Raw genomic sequence first — 17,736 nt, forward strand, 5'->3', positions numbered from 1 at the left:
AAGCCGCCAGGAACTCCAGTGAGACATCAGCCCCCAGGTGCCTGTCAGGCACGCCGGGCTGTGGGGGGCACCTGGGCCCATCTGAGTAACGGAGGCGCATCCGCACTTCCCCCAGGAGTACATTTTTAGAACCCACAGCGCCATAAACCAAAGACAAGGAGACTTCCTGGTGCCCCGTCAGCTTCTGGAGGCGACGTTCTCGGCTGACAGCTCTGGCAGCCTCCCCTGTAGGTGAGAGACAGGTAAATGGGACTCTTGCTTCCAAAACGGAACAGGGTAAAAATTCTCAAGCGTTGTCGACACATTGAGAAAAAACAAATCCAGCCTCCTGGGCTCTGGTCTCATCCCCAGCCGCGTCATGTGCCCCAGGCCGGCGTTGCCACACATGAAACCCCTTCCTGTTTTTCTATGTAGAAAGGAACTCAGAATAGAGACACTGAGATATTCGTGTTGTCCCTTTTGTCTTTGTCAACAGCAGAGTTACATCTTACTCATGAGAGCCCTGTAGCAATGTGGGGACCCTGGGACCAGTCTCAGTTAAGCTGGAACTTCCCCGGATGACTGGGGAGAGGAGCTGCAAAAGGCAGGGTGGGGGTGGGGGGCCTTCCCGAGATGGCAGCCCAGCCAGAGGCCAGCGTTCTTGCCTCTGGGAAGAGAATAAAGGCCCCAGACAGGGTGGAGCTAGCTCAGCCCCGTGCCACACAAATGGCCAGTGTGAGCCTGAAATGTGGAGCTACATTCAGCCCACATAGCACACCCTGGTGGGGCCTCGGAGCCAGGGGTATGGATCCACCAGAAGCTGCCCCTTGGGAACAGCAGTGGCATCGGGGTCCGGCACACAGCACCCGGGAGCAGGTGGCCGTCCCCTGACACTCACGGGCTAGGTTTCTCCTGCTTTTCCCTCAAAGAGGACAGAGGTCCAACTGCCAGCTTACATTTAGGGCAGGGGCAGGGGCAGGTCTACCCCAGGGGCCACGGCCACTCTGGCCCCCAGCACTGTGCCAGGCAGAGAGCAGAGCATGGAATATGGGGTTCACCCAGAGCTGGGGAGTCTGCAGGAGCCTGGGGTGGCAACTGAGGGCTCAGCGTTCATCCCAAACAAATGGCCTTGCCCACTGGCCTAAGCCCCAGAGAAGGGGGATGGGGACCCCAGGAAATGAAAGCAAAGATAAGCTCCAAATAGGATGAAAAGAAAGAGCTCCATGCCAGCTGCTCTGTTTGCTGAAGACGCTGGTTCCCGTGGCAGCGGAGCGCAGAGAGAGGGGCTGCCTGGCCAGGCAGGGTCAGCGGGCCCCAGCAGACCCTCCTCTGCTCCCAGCTCTGGTATCTGCAAGGAAACAGCGGGATTCGAACAGTCAAACTGTCTTGCTCGGTGAAGATTTCCATAACCCTCCTGGGGAATGCAGGAGACTTACAGAGACAGCACATGTGCGAATGTTTACACAAAACAGGTTAAAAGCAGCGAAGAAATCATCATCATGCCATCTATTTTTTTTAACTACGCAGAAAACGTTCGTTACTTCTCAGAAATGTGTAAATGGAATTTCTCGTTTAATGGATGACAATGGAAATCATTTGATTGGTGCATTTTGTTGGTTGGTTTTGTTAATACTTTGCTGAATCTGTTAGCGTTCCCCCTTACACATCAAACTGTGGTAGCAACTCTGATGGGTTTTGCAAGCATGAAACAGAGGGAAGGGCTACCAAATGGATCTCCGTGGAGCGGTGGTTATCACGGGGAAGAGACGGCAGCATGCCGAGAAAATAACACCGAAGCCTCTTTTTCCAGAAAGGAAATAGATTGATTATTCTAGTTTTGAAAATAGCACAGGCTCATTGGAAAACCTCCAAACTACACTGATGGGAGCTGAAGGGTGCACACCGATCATGACAACAGCCGGCAATGTCCCCCCAGTTTAAACCTGGACACGAGGCCTTCTAGATGTTTTTCTGTGCATAGATACCTTGTTTTGAAAAACAACTAAAACATGCGTTGTGTAGTCTTTTTTTTTACTAGTGGCATTGTGAGCAATAAATAGATTAAATTTTAACCAGCGTACAGCTCATAGATTTTCCCAGAAGGCCACAATCAAGCACTCTTTTTAAACCTACCGAATGTGCTCTTTCTTCCTCGTAGCGTGGCATTTTTTGGCACTTGCTTTCAGTACATACTGTGCATAGCATTCTTATTTTCCCTTTTCATGTCAAGTTTCCTCACTTGGCATAATATCCGTGATGATCCTCCTAATGGCATAATAGTCCATCATGCGGAGGCACTGTGCTGGTTTAAACCGCTTCCCGTCTTGGGACATTCAGGTGGCTTCTAGTCGGTTTTGTGTTTTTGTTACAGCAGATCACACCACGGTGAATATCTGTGTGCATAGAGCTGTTTGTTCCTGTTTAATTCTTGGCTTAAGATAAATTCCCCAGGATAGATATGTGGGCTTAAAGGATACGAATTTCTATATGGCTCTTACTGGGCAGTATTAACTTGCTCTCCCAGAAGAAGGGGCTTTATTTACAAATCGCAGGAGCTTCTGCTGCATTTAGCTCCCTGAGTGCCCCCATAGCCTGGTGAATGTCACACAAGCCAGGCGTGACCCCCACCCACCATCGTCCAAGTACACAGGGAGCCTGTTCACTTCCAAGCAAGTTCACACCCATAGGGTGTGAACCCAGATCGGCCCAGCCCCCTGGTGCACTCTGCTGCAGGGGCCCAAGAGCAGCCAGACCTCCTGGGGCAGCTGCTCCTCATTCAGCCTCTGGGGACCACCCTGAAGCCAGCACACTGCCCAACCGGAAGGTGGCTTTCCTCTGAAACATGCCTGGCTCACTTTGCCCTGCTCCTATGTGGGATACCTCGATACCAAGTGCTAAACAAAAACAGAGTCAGACAGAAAACTCATCTGCTAACATTACATGTAACAGGGAAAGTTGGAAACATTCTAAAAGTCCATCACTGGGGACTGGATTGCTAACGTGTGCTATGGCCACACCCTGGAGAAACTTGGAAAATGAAGCTAAGCTCTGTGGAGCAACTTGGGATGAGTTCATGATATGTTAGATGACAAAGCAGGTTGCAGCAGACTGACTTTGGTGCAATTCCATCTTTGTTTAAAAGTACAAAGGGGCTGGGCGCAGTGGCTCACGCCTGTAATCCCAACACTTTGGGAGGCCAAGGCAGGTGGATCGCTTGAAGTCAGGAGTTCACGACCAGCCTGGCCAACATGGTGAAACCCCGTCTCTACTAAAAGTACAAAAATTAGTCAGGTGTGGCAGCATGCACCTGTAATCCCAGCTACTCAGGAGGCTGAAGCACGAGAATTGCTTAAACCCAGGAGGCAGAGGTTGCGGTGAGCAAAGATTGCGCCACTGCACTCCAGCCTGGGCAACAGAGTGAGACTCTGTCTCAAAAATAAATAAATAAATAAAAATTTTAAAAAGTACAAAGGGGCGGGGTGCAGTGACTCACACCTGTCATCCCAATACTTTGGGAGGCTGAGGCAGAAGGATCGTTTGAACCTAGGAGTTCAAGACCAGCCTGGGTAACATAGCAAGACCCTATCTCTACAAAAAATAAAAATTAAAATATTGTTAAAAGGTAAAAGCGGCCACCCATGTGTGTCCACACTTCAAAACATTCTGGAAAGATACACCAAACTATTAGAAGTGATTTCCAGAGTATGGGATTTAGGGAAATAAATGGGTAAAGTGAGGACTTCGGTTTTCATATTTTGGTGTTTTTTTTTTTACTTTACTCTTGTGTTGTTTAGATTTTTTAGAATGTTTTTCTTTTGAAAACAGCTTCTAAAAGAGAAGATAGCCCTCAACATCTGACTTTTTTTTCTTTTTTTTTTGAGATGGAGTTTCGCTCTTGTTGCCCAGACTGGCCAGGCTGGCGTGCAGTGGCACAATCTCTGCTCACTGCAACCTCCGCCTCCTGGGTTCAAGCGATTCTCCTGCCTTAGCCTCCCGAGTAGCTGGGACTACAGGCACACGCCACCACGCCCAGCTAATTTTTGTATTATTATTATTTTTTTAATAGAGATGAGGTTTCACCATGTTGGCCAGGATGGTCTCGATCTCCTGACCTCATGATCATCCCGCCTCGACTTCCCAAAGTGCTGGGATTGCAGGCATGAGCCACCACGCCCAGCCCCAACATCTGACTTTCTGTGTGTTTTCCAAGAGTCTAGTGTGAGGTCAGAGGTCAGACAGGTCATCAGGGATTTTGCTTCGAGTGAGTTGCTGCTGCCCTGACTCCTCTCCCACAGCAAATAAGACCACACGGGGCTTGGGGGTTGGGTTTGTCGCTTGCTTTTGCTGTGCTGAGGGCTTCACCAGACTGAAACAGCAGGACCACAGCTCATCTCTGCTCCTTCTCTCTAGGACCAACTGCCCCTGTAAGTACAGTTTTTTGGATAACCACAAGAAGTTGACTCCTCGACGCGATGTTCCCACTTACCCCAAGGTAAGATGAGATTCCGGCCCAGAAGAAGCTGCAGCTGTGTCCCCAGCCCCACGCCCAGCCCTGTGGCCCTGCGGCCAGACCCTGCTGTGTGTACGTTCACATCAACCGCCCCTCCCAGCCCTGGGCCGCTGACGGTGCGGGTTACTTTAAGGCAAAGTATTTTTTCTCTTTGACATTTGTTTAGCAAAAGTGATCCCAGACCATACCTTCCCCTGCAAGGACATAACAGCTCCGTGCTGCTGTCTGCCCGGCCCCGGGAGCTGACCTGGGTAGACAGTTTTTACACTCAAACGTTACTGGAAAGAACTTTAACGTTTAACTGAATTTTTAAAAATCCATTCCATTGGCCCTTGTCTCTGAGCAATTCTTAGTTGTCCTGGCAAGTTTTGCTCTTTTGCACAAAAGTGTTCTTAGTTCTAAGAGAAGCTGTGACGTTGGTGAAGTAGCAATGGCATTTTTGAAATAACGACAAAAGGAGGGTCTCGAGTTGCCGGTCACCCGCTCAACGCCTTCAGCTGGGAAGCAGGCAAAATCCCGGCCCACCTGCTTTTTTTTTTTTTTTTTTTGAGACAGTGTTTCACTCTTGTTGCCCAGGCTGGAGTGCAATGGCACAATCTTGGCTCACTGCAACCTCTGCCTCCTGGGTTCAAGCAATTCTCCTACCTCAGCCTCCCAAGTAGGGGGCATTACAGGTGCCCGTCACCATGCCCAGTTAATTTTTTTGTATTTTTTTAGTAGAGACAGGGTTTCACCATGTTGGCCAGGCTGGTCTTGAACTTGTGACCTCAGGTGATCCGCCTGCCTCGGCCTCCCAAAGTGCTGAGCCACCGCACCCGGCCCGGCCCACCTGATTTGTAATGTGCTCTCATGCTAAGATTCAGGGGGCACAGCTTCCAGAGACAGCAGAGGCCTGGGCTAAACACAGGTGGGCTCTGCCACTGCCTGCGGTTCAAGTGATGGCAGAGCCTTCCACAGCCTCCATGTAGGCCACTGGTGTCCATTAGTCCGTGATTCTATCCACGCAGTTCCAAACAATGTCCTGGATATTGTCAGGTTCTGGGTGGATTTGGGGGGTTTTTGTTTTTTTCTTTTGATACTGAGTCTCACTCTGTCACCCAGGCTGGAGTGCAATGGCATGATCTCAGCTCACTGCAACCTCTGCCTCTTGGGTTCAAGTGATTCTCCTGCCTCAGCCTGAGTAGGTGGGATTACAGGCACCCACCGCCATGCCCGGCTAATTACTGTATTTTTAGTAGAGACGGTGTTTCACCGTGTTGGCCAGGTTGGTCTTGAACTCCTGACCTCAGGTGATCCACCCACCTCAGCATCCCAAAGTGCTGGGATTACAGGCGTAAGCCAGCCCAGCCTCATCTGAGATTTTTGAATGGAGACTAGTGCCTTTTTCCATTGGAAAATATGCCCCGCGCTTCTCAGGATCCTGTCCCAGGGAGCCGTGAAGCACAGCCTAGATCCAAAATAAAAGGTGTCAGCCCTCCAGATCTGTCCCCTTACAAAAAACAGAAAAACAAATATCCAGTAAGACCTAGGAGAAGACAGTGTGCAATACCAAAGCAGTGTTCTTGTCTTCTGTATAGAACCACAGCCTTCTGTCCTTGTGACAGCTTAACCTAAAGCCTGATGTCCTCAGAAGCAACCCAGGGGCACCGGCCCCATCAGCAGGCCTGCTCTTCTAGCTCTCGGCAGAAACCAGGAATGGGTTCCAGACAGGAGCATCTCAGAATAACTTCTTAGGTGGTATCTGAATTTATGCCAAGTGAATTTTACCCCCACACTTCACTTTATTGCCCTTTTTTTATTATTATTTTTGAGATGGAGTCTCACTCTGTCGCCCAGGCTGGTGTGCAGTGGCACGATCTTGGCTCACTGCAACCTCCCCCTCCTGGGTTCAAGCAATTCTCCCACCTCAGGCTCCCAAGTAGCTGGGATTACAGGCACCTGCCATCATGCCTGGCTAATTTTTGTATTTTTGTAGAGTCGGGATTCCACCATGTTTGCCAGGTTGGTCTTGAACTCCTGACCTCAGGTGATCCGCTCGCCTCGGCTTCCCAAAGCACTGGGATTACAAGCATGAGCCACCATGCCCAGCTATTGTCCATTTTATCATCGGGCTTGTTGAGGTCTAATTTACATGCAGTAAAGTTATTTAGGCTTGGAGTACAGTGAATTTTGACAAACTTGTTTAGTCCTGTGACCTCCACCACAAGCGAGATATGGAACATTTCTGTCACCCCAAACCCTCCCCTCTGCTCCCTCACCCTGCCTCTGGCATCCACCGATGGGATCTCCACCCGTAGCATTGGCCCTTTCCAGAAGTATGTGGCCTGTGAGTCTGACGCAGGTGCCTTAGAAAGAGAACGGGAGAAGCTGGGTGCGGTGGCTCACACCTGTAATCCCAACACTTGGGGAGGCCAAGGCGGGTGGATCACCTGAGGTCAGGAGTTCGAGACCAGCCTGGCCAACATCGTGAACTCCCCATCTCTACTAAAATTACAAAAATTAGCCAGGCATGGTGGCGGGCGCCTGCAGTCCCAGCTACTCAGGAGGCTGAGGCACGAGAATCACTTGAACCCAGGAGGCAGAGGTTGCCGTGAGCCAAGATCGCACCACTGCACTCCAGCGTGGGCAAGAGTGAGACTCTATCTCAAAAAAAAAAAAAAAAAGAAAGAAAGAAAAAGAAAGAGAACGGGAGAAAGAGGAGAAATATCTCAGCATGCACATCACTGTCACAGGCCCACGGCGCCTGGTTAACACGGAACTCCTGTCCTTTCTAGTACCTGCTCTCTCCAGAGACCATCGAGGCCCTGCGGAAGCCGACCTTTGACGTCTGGCTTTGGGAGCCCAATGAGGTAAGTGCGGGGCTTGCAGGCACCACGTCCCAGGGGGAGGCAGCTCAGGATCTTGGACGCCAGTGGGACCACCCCCATCGCTCTTCCTCCTTCTTGCTTTTTCCTCTTCTTTTTAAAGACTGAAAAAAAAAAACAAAACTTGTTTTGCCAGGTTTTAGTTGAAACTAACTAACACTTTATAGCAGGGCCCAGGAGACTTCACAGCAAGGGGATTCTGTGAGTGGGGGAGACGGCTGTCAGGGGCAGGGAGGCTCCACCCAGGGCTCCTGATGGCGCTGGGCCCCCCGAGCCATCTGCTCATCCTGCAGACCCTCATGCACGCCGGTGGCAGCCCCGTGCTGCAGAACACCCCTGCCAGGAGCAAATCTCTCCTCAAGGAAGGGGCTGCGGTCAGAGTGCTCTGCTCTGAGAGCAGTGTCTGCAAAGGCAAGGCACAGGCAACCGGCTGCCCCAGATAAGTGGACATGTGGGATTCCGGGAACTGTGTCACCTTCTGCAGCAAGGCTTGAGGCCAGGAATTCCACACTAGCCTGAGTGATATGATTTGGCTGTGTCCCCACCCAAATCTCACCCTGAATTGTCATAATCCCCACGTGTCAAGGGCAGGGCCAGGTGGAGATCTTGAATCATGGGGGCAGTTTTCCCCATACTGTTCTCGTGATAGTGAGTAAGTCTCACGAGATCTGATGGTTTTATAAATGGGGGATTGTCTTTTGCCTGCCGCCATTTAAGTGACTTTCTCCTTCTCTGCCATTCTCCATGATTGTGAGGCCTCCGCAGCCATGTGGAACTGTGAGTCCCTTAAGACTCTTTTTCTTTATAAGTTACCCAGTCTCAGGTATGTCTTTATTAACAGTGTGAGAACAGACTAATAAGCTGGGCAACATAGCAAGACCTCGTCGCTACAAAAAAAAGGTGTTAAAATTCCTATTTGCTGAAAAATACAAGAATGGGGAATTTTTTGTTTCATCTCATTGGCTAATAGACCCCCTCTTTTCACACCCCAAAAAATGAAAAAGTTCCCTCATTGCAGACCTCGGCCTCAGCTGTTTTCAACGCACCAAAATCTAAGGACGTTTTCCTGCTTGTCAGCAACACAGAAAATGCACAAGGCTCCTCAGCAAGCTCACCTGTGCTCTTTGACAAGCTCGGCCGCAGCGATGTCTCTGCAAAGGGCAGAAAGTGGGCTCTTGCCTCTTGGCACCCCTGAGGCCAGGCTGCTGACACCTGGGGCACTGCCCTCTCCTAAGTGAACCTCTTTTCATGTGCATGGTCTCCCAGCAGGAGAAAAACTGCAGCACCAGCCAGAAAAGCAAAGCTCCAGCCTCCACTCCCCAGCTCAGTTCACCCAAGAGCAGCAGGCGGCCAGTCCCAGGGGCTGCACTGCTGCAAACCTGCTCAAAACCTCCAGCCGCCACGTGGCAACTTGCTCCCCAGCTCTGAGAGTGCAGGACCGGGGCGCAGAGACGACAGAAGAGGCTTTAAATATGCAGAATGACTGTCTAGGTCAACGCACAAAAGGAAAGGGCCCCAGGTGTGGGAGATGCAAGGGGTGAGAGGGAAAGCTCAGAAGAGACGTGTTGGAGCTGCTGGCCTGCAGCAGCTCCCAGGGTCCCTGCACAGCTGCTGAGATTGGGCAGAGCAAGTACACAGCAAGTAGACACCGCAGACAGTTAGAGCACACTGACTCCTGCTCCCAGCCTGTGGGCAACCGCCGCACCTCAGCATCATGTAGAAAAATCACCATCCCCAAAGTCATTTTGACCTCAGCCTGCTGGGAGGAAGAGCCAAGCCAGGGGCCACTGATGGCAAAGCACCTGCGTGGAAACTGGCACTCGCTGTCTTTTCTGCCACCTTCTACCAGGGAACCCTTTGAGCACGGGCCACTGTGACTGGGGAGGTGGGGCTTGCCCCACGAAGCTGGGGGATCTGTGTCTCCATAATAGAAAGGCCACCTCTCTGTCCTCTGATCACAGAGTGGATTCACAGCTGCTCTCGGGGCTGGCAGGTGGGCAAGGCAGACAGCTCCCGGCAGCTGGACTCAGCCTCTGGGTGGCATCTCCCACGGCCCGTGGCTCCTGCCCAGCAGATCTCAAGGGCACTCCAGGAGACCGATGAGGGTTCCAGTGCTTCCAAGAAGTATCTAGCTGCCTGTGTGTGAGAATGCAGAGATGCCCAAGACAGGAGCCTTGGCCTCTGGCAGATCTAGGGATGCCAGGAATTTTGGAGTGTGAGTGGCAAAGAGGGACAACTAAAGGGACACACATGAAAACAGCCCACTCGGCCCCACAAAACTGCATCTGGCCACGCATGAGGCACCTGGCACTCAGAGAACGTCAGGGCGCCTAAAAGTGATCACCTCCCTCCCTTCCAGCAGGGGCGCCCCCACTTTTCTCCGAGTGGTTTGGCCCAGTGTCCTGCCCATCACAAACCAGACAGAGGACATGACTTCAGGCTGCTGTGTCCTCCCATGTGTTAGGGCCTCCGAGGGCCCAGGGCTGTGGCCCGTGAGCGTGGCCTGCCTCTATCCTCCGAGGGCCCAGGGCTGTGGCCCGTGAGCGTGGCCTGCCTCTATCCTCCGAGGGCCCAGGGCTGTGGCCCGTGAGCATGGCCCGCCTCTATCAAGTGCAGAGCTGGAAGGCTGCAGGAGCCTCCCCCGTCATCTCATGAGTCCCCCACTCACGACCATGCAGCCCACTCAGACCACGACCTGCCGCCACATGCGGGAACTGCTGGCTCCCTCGTGCCCGCCCGGGGCTGAGGACTGCACGTGCAGCCACAGATGCATCCGGCCCTCCTGCCCCACAGCCTCTATGAAGGCCACATAAATGGCACCAAGTGTCTCTGTCTGCCGATCAGCATCCCCTCTTGGCTTCACAGCAGACGCATCTGCCTTTCAGGACTGCCTTGAACAACATCTGGGCTGGTCAGGTGGAGAGCGAGGAGTTTCCAGGTTGCAGCCCCTATGGTCCTGAGGGCTGGCGTCCAGGATGGTGGGGGTCCAGCAGCTCTGGGCAGCGAGGCCCCTGGCTGGGTGATCCAGGTGGCAGCTGACCAGTGGCCTGGGAGCCAGCCCTCCTGTCCTCACGTGGGGCCCCATCTCCAAAAGCCAGTGCAGTGCCCTGCACATTATCCAACCTACATCTGTACTGTCTCCCCAAGGAAAACGAGTGTGTGGTTCACGTGCTTTAAGGACGTTTCCCAGGTGACATTCCAAGCTCCCATCTGTGGCCGCAAGTGGGGGAGTTTCCAGTTTTCCAGATAGATTTTCTGCCATGCCAGAGAACCCTCCGCCTCCTTCAGAGCCATCTCATCAATGCAGTGATCGCAAGCTTCGATTTACAAAAACTCGCCTCCCTTGCAGCATTTCCAGGTTTCACACACAGCGTAACAAGTAAAAATGGATTTTTGGGCAGCACGCCTGTCCTAGTTTGCTGAGGCTGCCATAACAAAGTACCAGAGACTGGGGTGGCGTCAGCAGCAAAAGTTGATTCCTCAGTTCTGGAGCTGGAAGTCCAGGATCAAGGTGCTGCCAGGTTCGGCTTCTCCGGAGGCCTCGGTCCCTGGTCTGGGACCTTCTTGCTGGGGCCTCGGTCCCTGGTGTGGGACCTTCTTGCTGGGACCTCGGTCCCTGGTGTGGGACCTTCTTCCTGGCCAGCAAGATGGCCGCCTTCTTGCTGGGTCCTCATGTGGCCTGTTCTCTCGGCACATGCATCCCAGGTGCTCTTCCTCCTCTAATGAAGACACTAGTCCCATGGGACCAAGGCCTCACCCTGACTAGATGGAAACTTCATTACCTCCGTAAAGGCCCCGTCTCCAAATAGCCCCACTGGGGTCGGGGCTTTACCATGTTGACCTGGGGAAGGGGGCAGTTCAGTTCGTAACATGCCCTTTTGGGAGGAGAAAGTCAGGCAATGAGCAGACACAGGCAGGAAGCCACGCCGGGCTCCAGCAGGGATGGCCCAGTGCCCTGTACAGGCAGCAGGCAGCTGGGCTGGAGGTGGGCCCTGGGTGGAGGACACCTACCAGGTGTGTCTAAACTGCCCCTTTCCTACACATCTTCCTTCGCACTGGGCTCGCCACCCAAGACCTGCTTTTTCCAGAAAGCAAAGCCTACTTTGGTCAAACTCTCATTTTTAAAAATCACTTCATCTTTTCCTCCCTAACTTAATTAGCTCCAAAGCACTGAGCTGTATTGAAATAGATCACCACAATGACAATCCTCTTTGGGACTGAAAACAAAATCTATTTCAACTTGAACAGGGATATTGATAGAAGACAGGGCTCCATGAAAAAGGGTTAGGAGGAGCCGCTTGCTGGGGCAGGGGCCGCATCTGGGCACTGCAGTTAAGATGTTAAAGTGTCTTCGGTCCCAGGGGGCCGCAGATGAACACAGTTCAGCGTTTCTGGATGTAAATCGTCAAAGCTCCTTCGATCCCCAGCCTCGGGCAAGGAAAGGGCCTTTCTCTCTGTGATGCCACCTGTGCTCAGGTGTGCACTGGATGGAACTGTGTCCTAGACCCCTCAGCTGTGATATTGATCCGCTGAGATTGTTTTTCATCTGTAGAAATCAATAAATTCCTTTTTGGTGCAGTGTTTTGTGAACGGGTGCACTCTCTCACCCGGTCGCTGTCCTAAGAATTCTCCTTGACTTCGGAACTGGCCCTCCACGCCCCAGGATCCACCTGCCAGGAGACCCCCAGTGTGCTCTCAAACCCCCACCCATCTGAGTGGCCTGGAAAGGCTGGTCTGAAGACCTCTCTTCCCATGTCTGCCGACCAGGCTTTGCTCTCCAGGGACTTTCTGGGAGGGGGAGAACCCACCTCCTGCCAACGGCCCTGCTGGCACTCCGAGGACAGCAGAGGGAAGGAAGCCAGGGGCTGGGGAGCCGGCCACACAACTGCCCAGTGCCTATCCTTCTCCTGTGCCCACAGATGCTGAGCTGCCTGGAGCACATGTACCACGACCTCGGGCTGGTCAGGGACTTCAGCATCAACCCTGTCACCCTCAGGAGGTGGCTGGTGAGTGCCAAACCCGCCTTCGGTTCTTCCTGGGCACGTGGTTTCATCCAGTTCCACAGGAATGGAGGGAATGGATCACCAGGGCACCTTCCGGATGGCACTGCGCTCCCTGTGAGCAGAGGTGACATTTCCCCGGGAGTTCTGTGAGGACACTCAGCCTGTCTCTGTTCCTCCTTCCACCAAAACCTTCTTTACGCCCGAGCTACTCCTGCTCTGATAAGCAAGGAGTAGCTTATCAGTGAGACTCTGCCATCATCAAGCAAAGCAGCATGTCCTAAAGCAGCGGTGTGTGGGAGCGTGTGTGTGTGTGTGGGAGCGTGTGTGTGTGTGAGAGTGAGTATGGGGGTGTGGATGTGAGTGTGTGTGAGTGTGGGGTGTGGATGTGAGCATGGGGGTGTCTGCATGTGTTTGTGAGTGGGTGTGTGGATGTAAATGTGTGGGAGCGTGTGTGTGTGTGAGTGTGGGGTGTGGGTGTGAGCATGGGGGTATCTGAGTTTACGGGTGGGTGTGTGTGAATGTGTGGTGGGAGTGTGTGGGGTGGGAGTAGGAGTGTGGAGGTGTGTCTGTGTGTGTCAGTGTGGATGTGTGCATGTGTATATCTGGATGTGGGGTGTGTCTGTGTGTGGGTGTGTGTGAGGGTGTGTGTGCATGTGTGTATCTGTGGATGTGAGGTGTGTGTGCATGTGTGTATCTGGATGTGGGGGTGTGTGAGGGTGGATGTGTGCATGTGTGTGTGTGGATGTGGGGTGTGTGAGTGTGTGGTGTGTGAGTGGGTGTGTGCATGTGGGTGTCTGCCTGTGTGAATATGTTTGGCAGCAGGTTTTTTTAATGAAATATTGCTCAGAACCAAATATTAAAAGCCTATTAAAGGTTTCATGGTGACTGGGGACCCAGAGCTCCCTCTTGGAGTCTCCCCTCCCCCCATCCCCTAACTTTATGCCCCACTGTGGCTCCTCAGACACCTCCGGGGAGACCCCAGTCCTTGACTGCAGGGTGAAACCCCTGGTGGGAGCTCTGTCCCCACACCTGCCCCGGGTGCCGTGGTGTGGCCCGCTGGACGTTCTCAGGGTCCCTGTGTCACCTCATTGGTACCTGTGGTAAACCTGGAACACTGTTGACCTCTGGTTGGGATGAGGGTTTGGCAGAGAATGTTCAAACCAGCGCACAGCCTTCTGGGTGGCTTTGGGAGGAGAGGTGGGCGGGCCCAGGCACAGGGTGACTCGGACCCCCTGCCTCCCGCAGTTCTGCGTCCACGACAACTACAGAAACAACCCCTTCCACAACTTCCGGCACTGCTTCTGCGTGGCCCAGATGATGTACAGCATGGTCTGGCTCTGCAGTCTCCAGGTGGGTCCTGCCCGCTGCACACCCAGACCTCTACTCTCGGGGGTCAGACGGAGGCCCCCTTCCAGGGAGCGGCAGCCCCATCCCACCAAGAGAGCCACAGGCGTGGGGTCCCCAGCCGCTCCGCCCCTCCTAGGGACGCACCCCTGCCCACCGTTGTCAGTCACCCCATGGGCGAGGCTGCTCCTAGGATTACGAGAGCAGGTGAGTCCCCGACCTGGTCACCCCCCCAACCCCCACAGGCAGGCCGATCCTCTCCCACCATGCCAGGAGATGCCAGATGGCTGCAGGGGCCTTTGTCCCCCGCTTACCACTCACCCAATTCCACCCCCCCTCACCCCATCCCACCCTCCGAGTGAAGAGAGCAAACACCTACGCCCTGTTTTCCAATCCAGGAGAAGTTCTCACAAACGGATATCCTGATCCTAATGACAGCGGCCATCTGCCACGATCTGGACCATCCCGGCTACAACAACACGTATGTACAGGATTTTCTCTTTTTTTCCTTTTAAAAGGCACCCTGGCTACTGGAGGGAACCTGTCAGCCCAACCCTCAGAGCAGTTCCCAGATGGAGCTGTCAACGACGGCCTCCCAGCCCCCAACTCTGCCTCCACTGACACAGCTCCTGGCTTCTGGACTTTGCCCAGGGCCTTGGGTCTCCCCGGAGTAGGAACTTTCAGGATTATCAAACCCCAGGGGCTCTTTCCCACTCCTGTGCGGGCCTGGCTTCAGGCTCAGGTGCACGGCAGATCCCTGGCCCCGCCGGCGCCTTCTCCACCCCAGGCAGGGAGCAACACCTGTCCGCATGCAGGGATGGGGGCTCCACACCCCCCTCTCAGGAGCTCGCCTCTCCCTGGGCAGGCTCCCAGCTGGCTTCCGCAGGGAAAGCACAGGCAGGAGCCAGAAGAGAGCAGAAGAGGGGGAGAAGAGGGACTGCAGAGGGACAGGAGGTGGGAGTGAGGTGTCCCTCGTGGGGCCAGGGATCAGAAGGACAGACCGTTGCTCCACTCCTGCCTCCACAGGCACAGAGTTCCGCCCCATGTGGCGGACAAGGTCCAGGCCATGGGCTTGGGTCTGTGTCCTCAGTGGCGCAGCAGCTCTCTCTGTTGAACTGTGTGTTTGTGTGATGTCATCACATGCCTGAGAGCTCTGCTGCCATGTGTCAGCGCCTAGTGGGTTCCGAGGTGTGGCTGTCAGCGCTCCTCCCGGGGCCATCACCATGCACACCCATCTGTTCCCCTTTTGCTCATTTCACACTCACAGTGGCCGGCACAGCACAGGTCAGCAGAGGCCTTGACCACAGCATCCCAGTGAACCTCAGCCTCGTTCTGCCCACCTGCCTCTGGCACCTGGTGACGTTTGATAATTTCACAAGAGGCCGTGATGCCTCAGGGCCTGTCCCAGGGAGCATGCCGCTTCCTCAGAGGTGTCTGTCTGGTGGGACTGCAGGAGCATGGGGACGTGCAGTTGCAGGGGCAGCTGAGCGGCAGGAGGGACCTCCTGGCCAGGCCAGGGCACAGGCAGCTCCCCCAGCCCCCACGGCACCTTCTCCTGACTCTACTTGCTCCACTTACATGGCTGGGTGTTGCTCCCCCGTGCAGGTACCTGGTGAGGGCGCCTGAGTCTCCCCTCACTCTCTCCTTGCCTCCCAGGTACCAGATCAATGCCCGCACAGAGCTGGCGGTCCGCTACAATGACATCTCACCGCTGGAGAACCACCACTGCGCCGTGGCCTTCCAGATCCTCGCCGAGCCTGAGTGCAACATCTTCTCCAACATCCCACCTGATGGGTTCAAGCAGATCCGACAGGTGTGTGGGGTGAGGGCCCTCCCACCGGAGTGGGGGCACATTCAGGGACAGAGCAGCCCCCACTCTCCATTGGCTGGAAGCTCCCAGAAGCTCCTGGCCACAGCAGTGCCCTGGGGACCCAAGGGAACCCCTCCCTCCTTCCTCACCTCCTCCAGGGCCCAGAGTGGAGCCCCAAAAAGAGGGTACCCTCGCCATGCGCACGTGCATCCCACTGACCTGCACTTCCCAGCCTGTATTTAATTCAGCCTTCACTGGCTCCCTTTGAGATAAATCCTTTGTCCCTCTTCCAGCCCAAGAAACTGAGGCTTAGCAAAGGTAGGGAGCCTGCCCAAGGAGGGGACAGGCCCTGGACAGACACATCTGCTGCATCCAACATAGGAGAGCTGCCCCCTGCCCCATAACCCCAGCTGCTGTCACCTGCCACCCACAGCCCAGTCAGCCCCCTTCCTTTTATTTATTTTTTTTTCTTTTGAGACAGAGTCTCGCTCTGTTGCCCAGGCTGGAGTGTAATGGCAGGATCTCGGCTCACTGCAACCTCCACCTCCTGGGTTCAAGCAATTCTCCTGCCTCAGCCTCCCAAATAGCTGGGATTACAGGCATGCGCCACCAAGCCGGCTAATTTTCGGTATTTTTAATAGAGACGGGGTTTCATCATGTTGGCCAGGCTGGTCTTGAACTCCAGACCTCAGGTGATCCACCTGCCTCGACCTCCCAAAGTGCTGGGATTACAGGTGTGAGCCACCACGCCCGGCCACCCCTTCCATTTTAGATAAGGGGGCTTTATGCCTCTCAGGGCGTGATGGGAGGAGAGTGAGAGGATATCTGCGTGAGAGGAAGATGACCTGGTCCACCTGCCCCAGACAAACACCTCCAGCTCACCGAAATAACGCCCCATTCCACACGGGAATTCCTCATCAAACCCTCACTCTCTGACATTTGCAGGGGAGGGAAGCTCTCGGAGTAAACCCTGGGAGAAATGTGTTGGGTTGAATAGCAGCGTCCTTCAAACAAGGTCCACCTCCCGTGAATGTGATCTTATTTGGAAAAGGGTCTTTGCATTTGTACTTGTTAAGATTTCCAGATAAGATCAGTGTGGATTGTCTAAGGGGGCCGTAAATCCAAAGACTAGTGTCCTTGGACGAGGAGACAGAGTAGAAAACAGCCCAGACACAGAGGAGAAGGCCGCATGAAGACGCAGTGATTGGAGATTTGAGTGATGCAGCCCCAAACTAAGGGACTTCGGGGCCCCCAGGAGCAGGAGGAGACAAGGAAGGACCCTCCCCTGGAGTCTTCTTTGAGAGCAGGGCCCTGCCCACACTTTGATCTTGGTTCTGGCTTCCAGAACTGTGAGAGAATGAGTTTGTTGTTTTAAGCCGCCTAGTTTGTGGTACTTTGTGTGGCGGCCCCAGGACACTCACCCAGGGCACCGTCTTCTGCGGTTCCACAAGGCAGACCTCAGCCATTCGAAGTCTAAGTGGCTTCCTTCCAGAGGCAGCAAGAAAGACTGCCTGGACTTCAGCACTGGGAAGATACTCACCACCCTCCAGGCGTGCTGCTGAGCCTCCCTTTATCAGAGAGCAGCAGCCTCTTCTACCATGGCTTTCCAATTTGTCTACGCTTCCAGGAAGTTCAAAGCCCAGTGTAAAAAACTGAAGTCAGTGAAGCATTTGGGGAAGCTCCGAGGAAGCAGCATGCTCCCTGGGACGGGGCCCTGAGGCATCACGGCCTCTTGCGAAATTGTCAAATGCCACCATGTGCCAGAGGCAGAGGTGGGCAGAACCAGGCTGTGGTTCATTGGGATGCTGTGGTCAAGGCCTCTGCTGGCCTGTGCTGTGCCAGCCACTGTGAGTGTGAAATGAGCAGGAGAACAGATGGGTGTGCATGGTGATGGCCCCGGGAGGAGCGCCGACAGCCGCACCTCAGAACCCACTCGGCGCTGACATACGGCGGCAGCGCTCTCGGGCCTGTGATGACATCATTGCACAAACATACACAATTCAATAGACAATTTACAGTCATTATTGAATCACTGGTTCCCAGTACAGTTATCTCCCCTTTATCTATAGGCTCTCTGGCCTCTCCTCCATGTTTGTGCCCCTCCCCACCCTGCAAGCAGGTGCCCTGTGTGGCTACGATAAGCTGTGGCAAATCTTCGTCTGCAGTAGGTCAAGGAGCAACCGTGAAGAGAGAACGCTGCATCTGCCACTGCTACCCCAGTGGGGA

General features: G+C 54.1%; 1 protein-coding gene across 24 annotated transcripts in view, besides 3 other annotated features; it reads left to right on the plus strand.

Annotated features, from left to right (window-relative positions):
* The window catches only part of PDE9A (phosphodiesterase 9A), a 121,889-nt gene that overhangs the window by 93,106 nt on the left and 11,047 nt on the right, over positions 1-17,736 (plus strand). For all 24 annotated transcript variants that reach the window (NM_001315533.2, NM_001001570.2, NM_002606.3 and 21 more), the window contains 6 exons: positions 4,390-4,471; positions 7,264-7,338; positions 12,273-12,359; positions 13,602-13,706; positions 14,099-14,181; positions 15,357-15,513. In NM_001315533.2, the coding sequence (NP_001302462.1) occupies positions 4,390-4,471; positions 7,264-7,338; positions 12,273-12,359; positions 13,602-13,706; positions 14,099-14,181; positions 15,357-15,513 (589 nt within the window). The remainder of the gene's footprint in view (positions 1-4,389; positions 4,472-7,263; positions 7,339-12,272; positions 12,360-13,601; positions 13,707-14,098; positions 14,182-15,356; positions 15,514-17,736) is intronic.
* Positions 10,043-10,542: an enhancer, noted in NCBI's record as "H3K4me1 hESC enhancer chr21:44176879-44177378 (GRCh37/hg19 assembly coordinates)". NCBI's record gives its function as "activates a minimal SCP1, AML or CMV promoter by ChIP-STARR-seq in primed H9 embryonic stem cells {active_cell/tissue: H9 hESC(primed)}" and the evidence as "EXISTENCE:reporter gene assay evidence [ECO:0000049][PMID:30033119]".
* Positions 14,213-14,746: an enhancer, noted in NCBI's record as "H3K4me1 hESC enhancer chr21:44181049-44181582 (GRCh37/hg19 assembly coordinates)". NCBI's record gives its function as "activates a minimal SCP1, AML or CMV promoter by ChIP-STARR-seq in naive H9 embryonic stem cells {active_cell/tissue: H9 hESC(naive)}" and the evidence as "EXISTENCE:reporter gene assay evidence [ECO:0000049][PMID:30033119]".
* Positions 14,747-15,278: an enhancer, noted in NCBI's record as "H3K4me1 hESC enhancer chr21:44181583-44182114 (GRCh37/hg19 assembly coordinates)". NCBI's record gives its function as "activates a minimal SCP1, AML or CMV promoter by ChIP-STARR-seq in naive H9 embryonic stem cells {active_cell/tissue: H9 hESC(naive)}" and the evidence as "EXISTENCE:reporter gene assay evidence [ECO:0000049][PMID:30033119]".

The sequence above is a fragment of the Homo sapiens genome, chromosome 21 (assembly GCF_000001405.40).
Source record: "Homo sapiens chromosome 21, GRCh38.p14 Primary Assembly".
Classification (NCBI taxonomy): domain Eukaryota; kingdom Metazoa; phylum Chordata; class Mammalia; order Primates; family Hominidae; genus Homo; species Homo sapiens.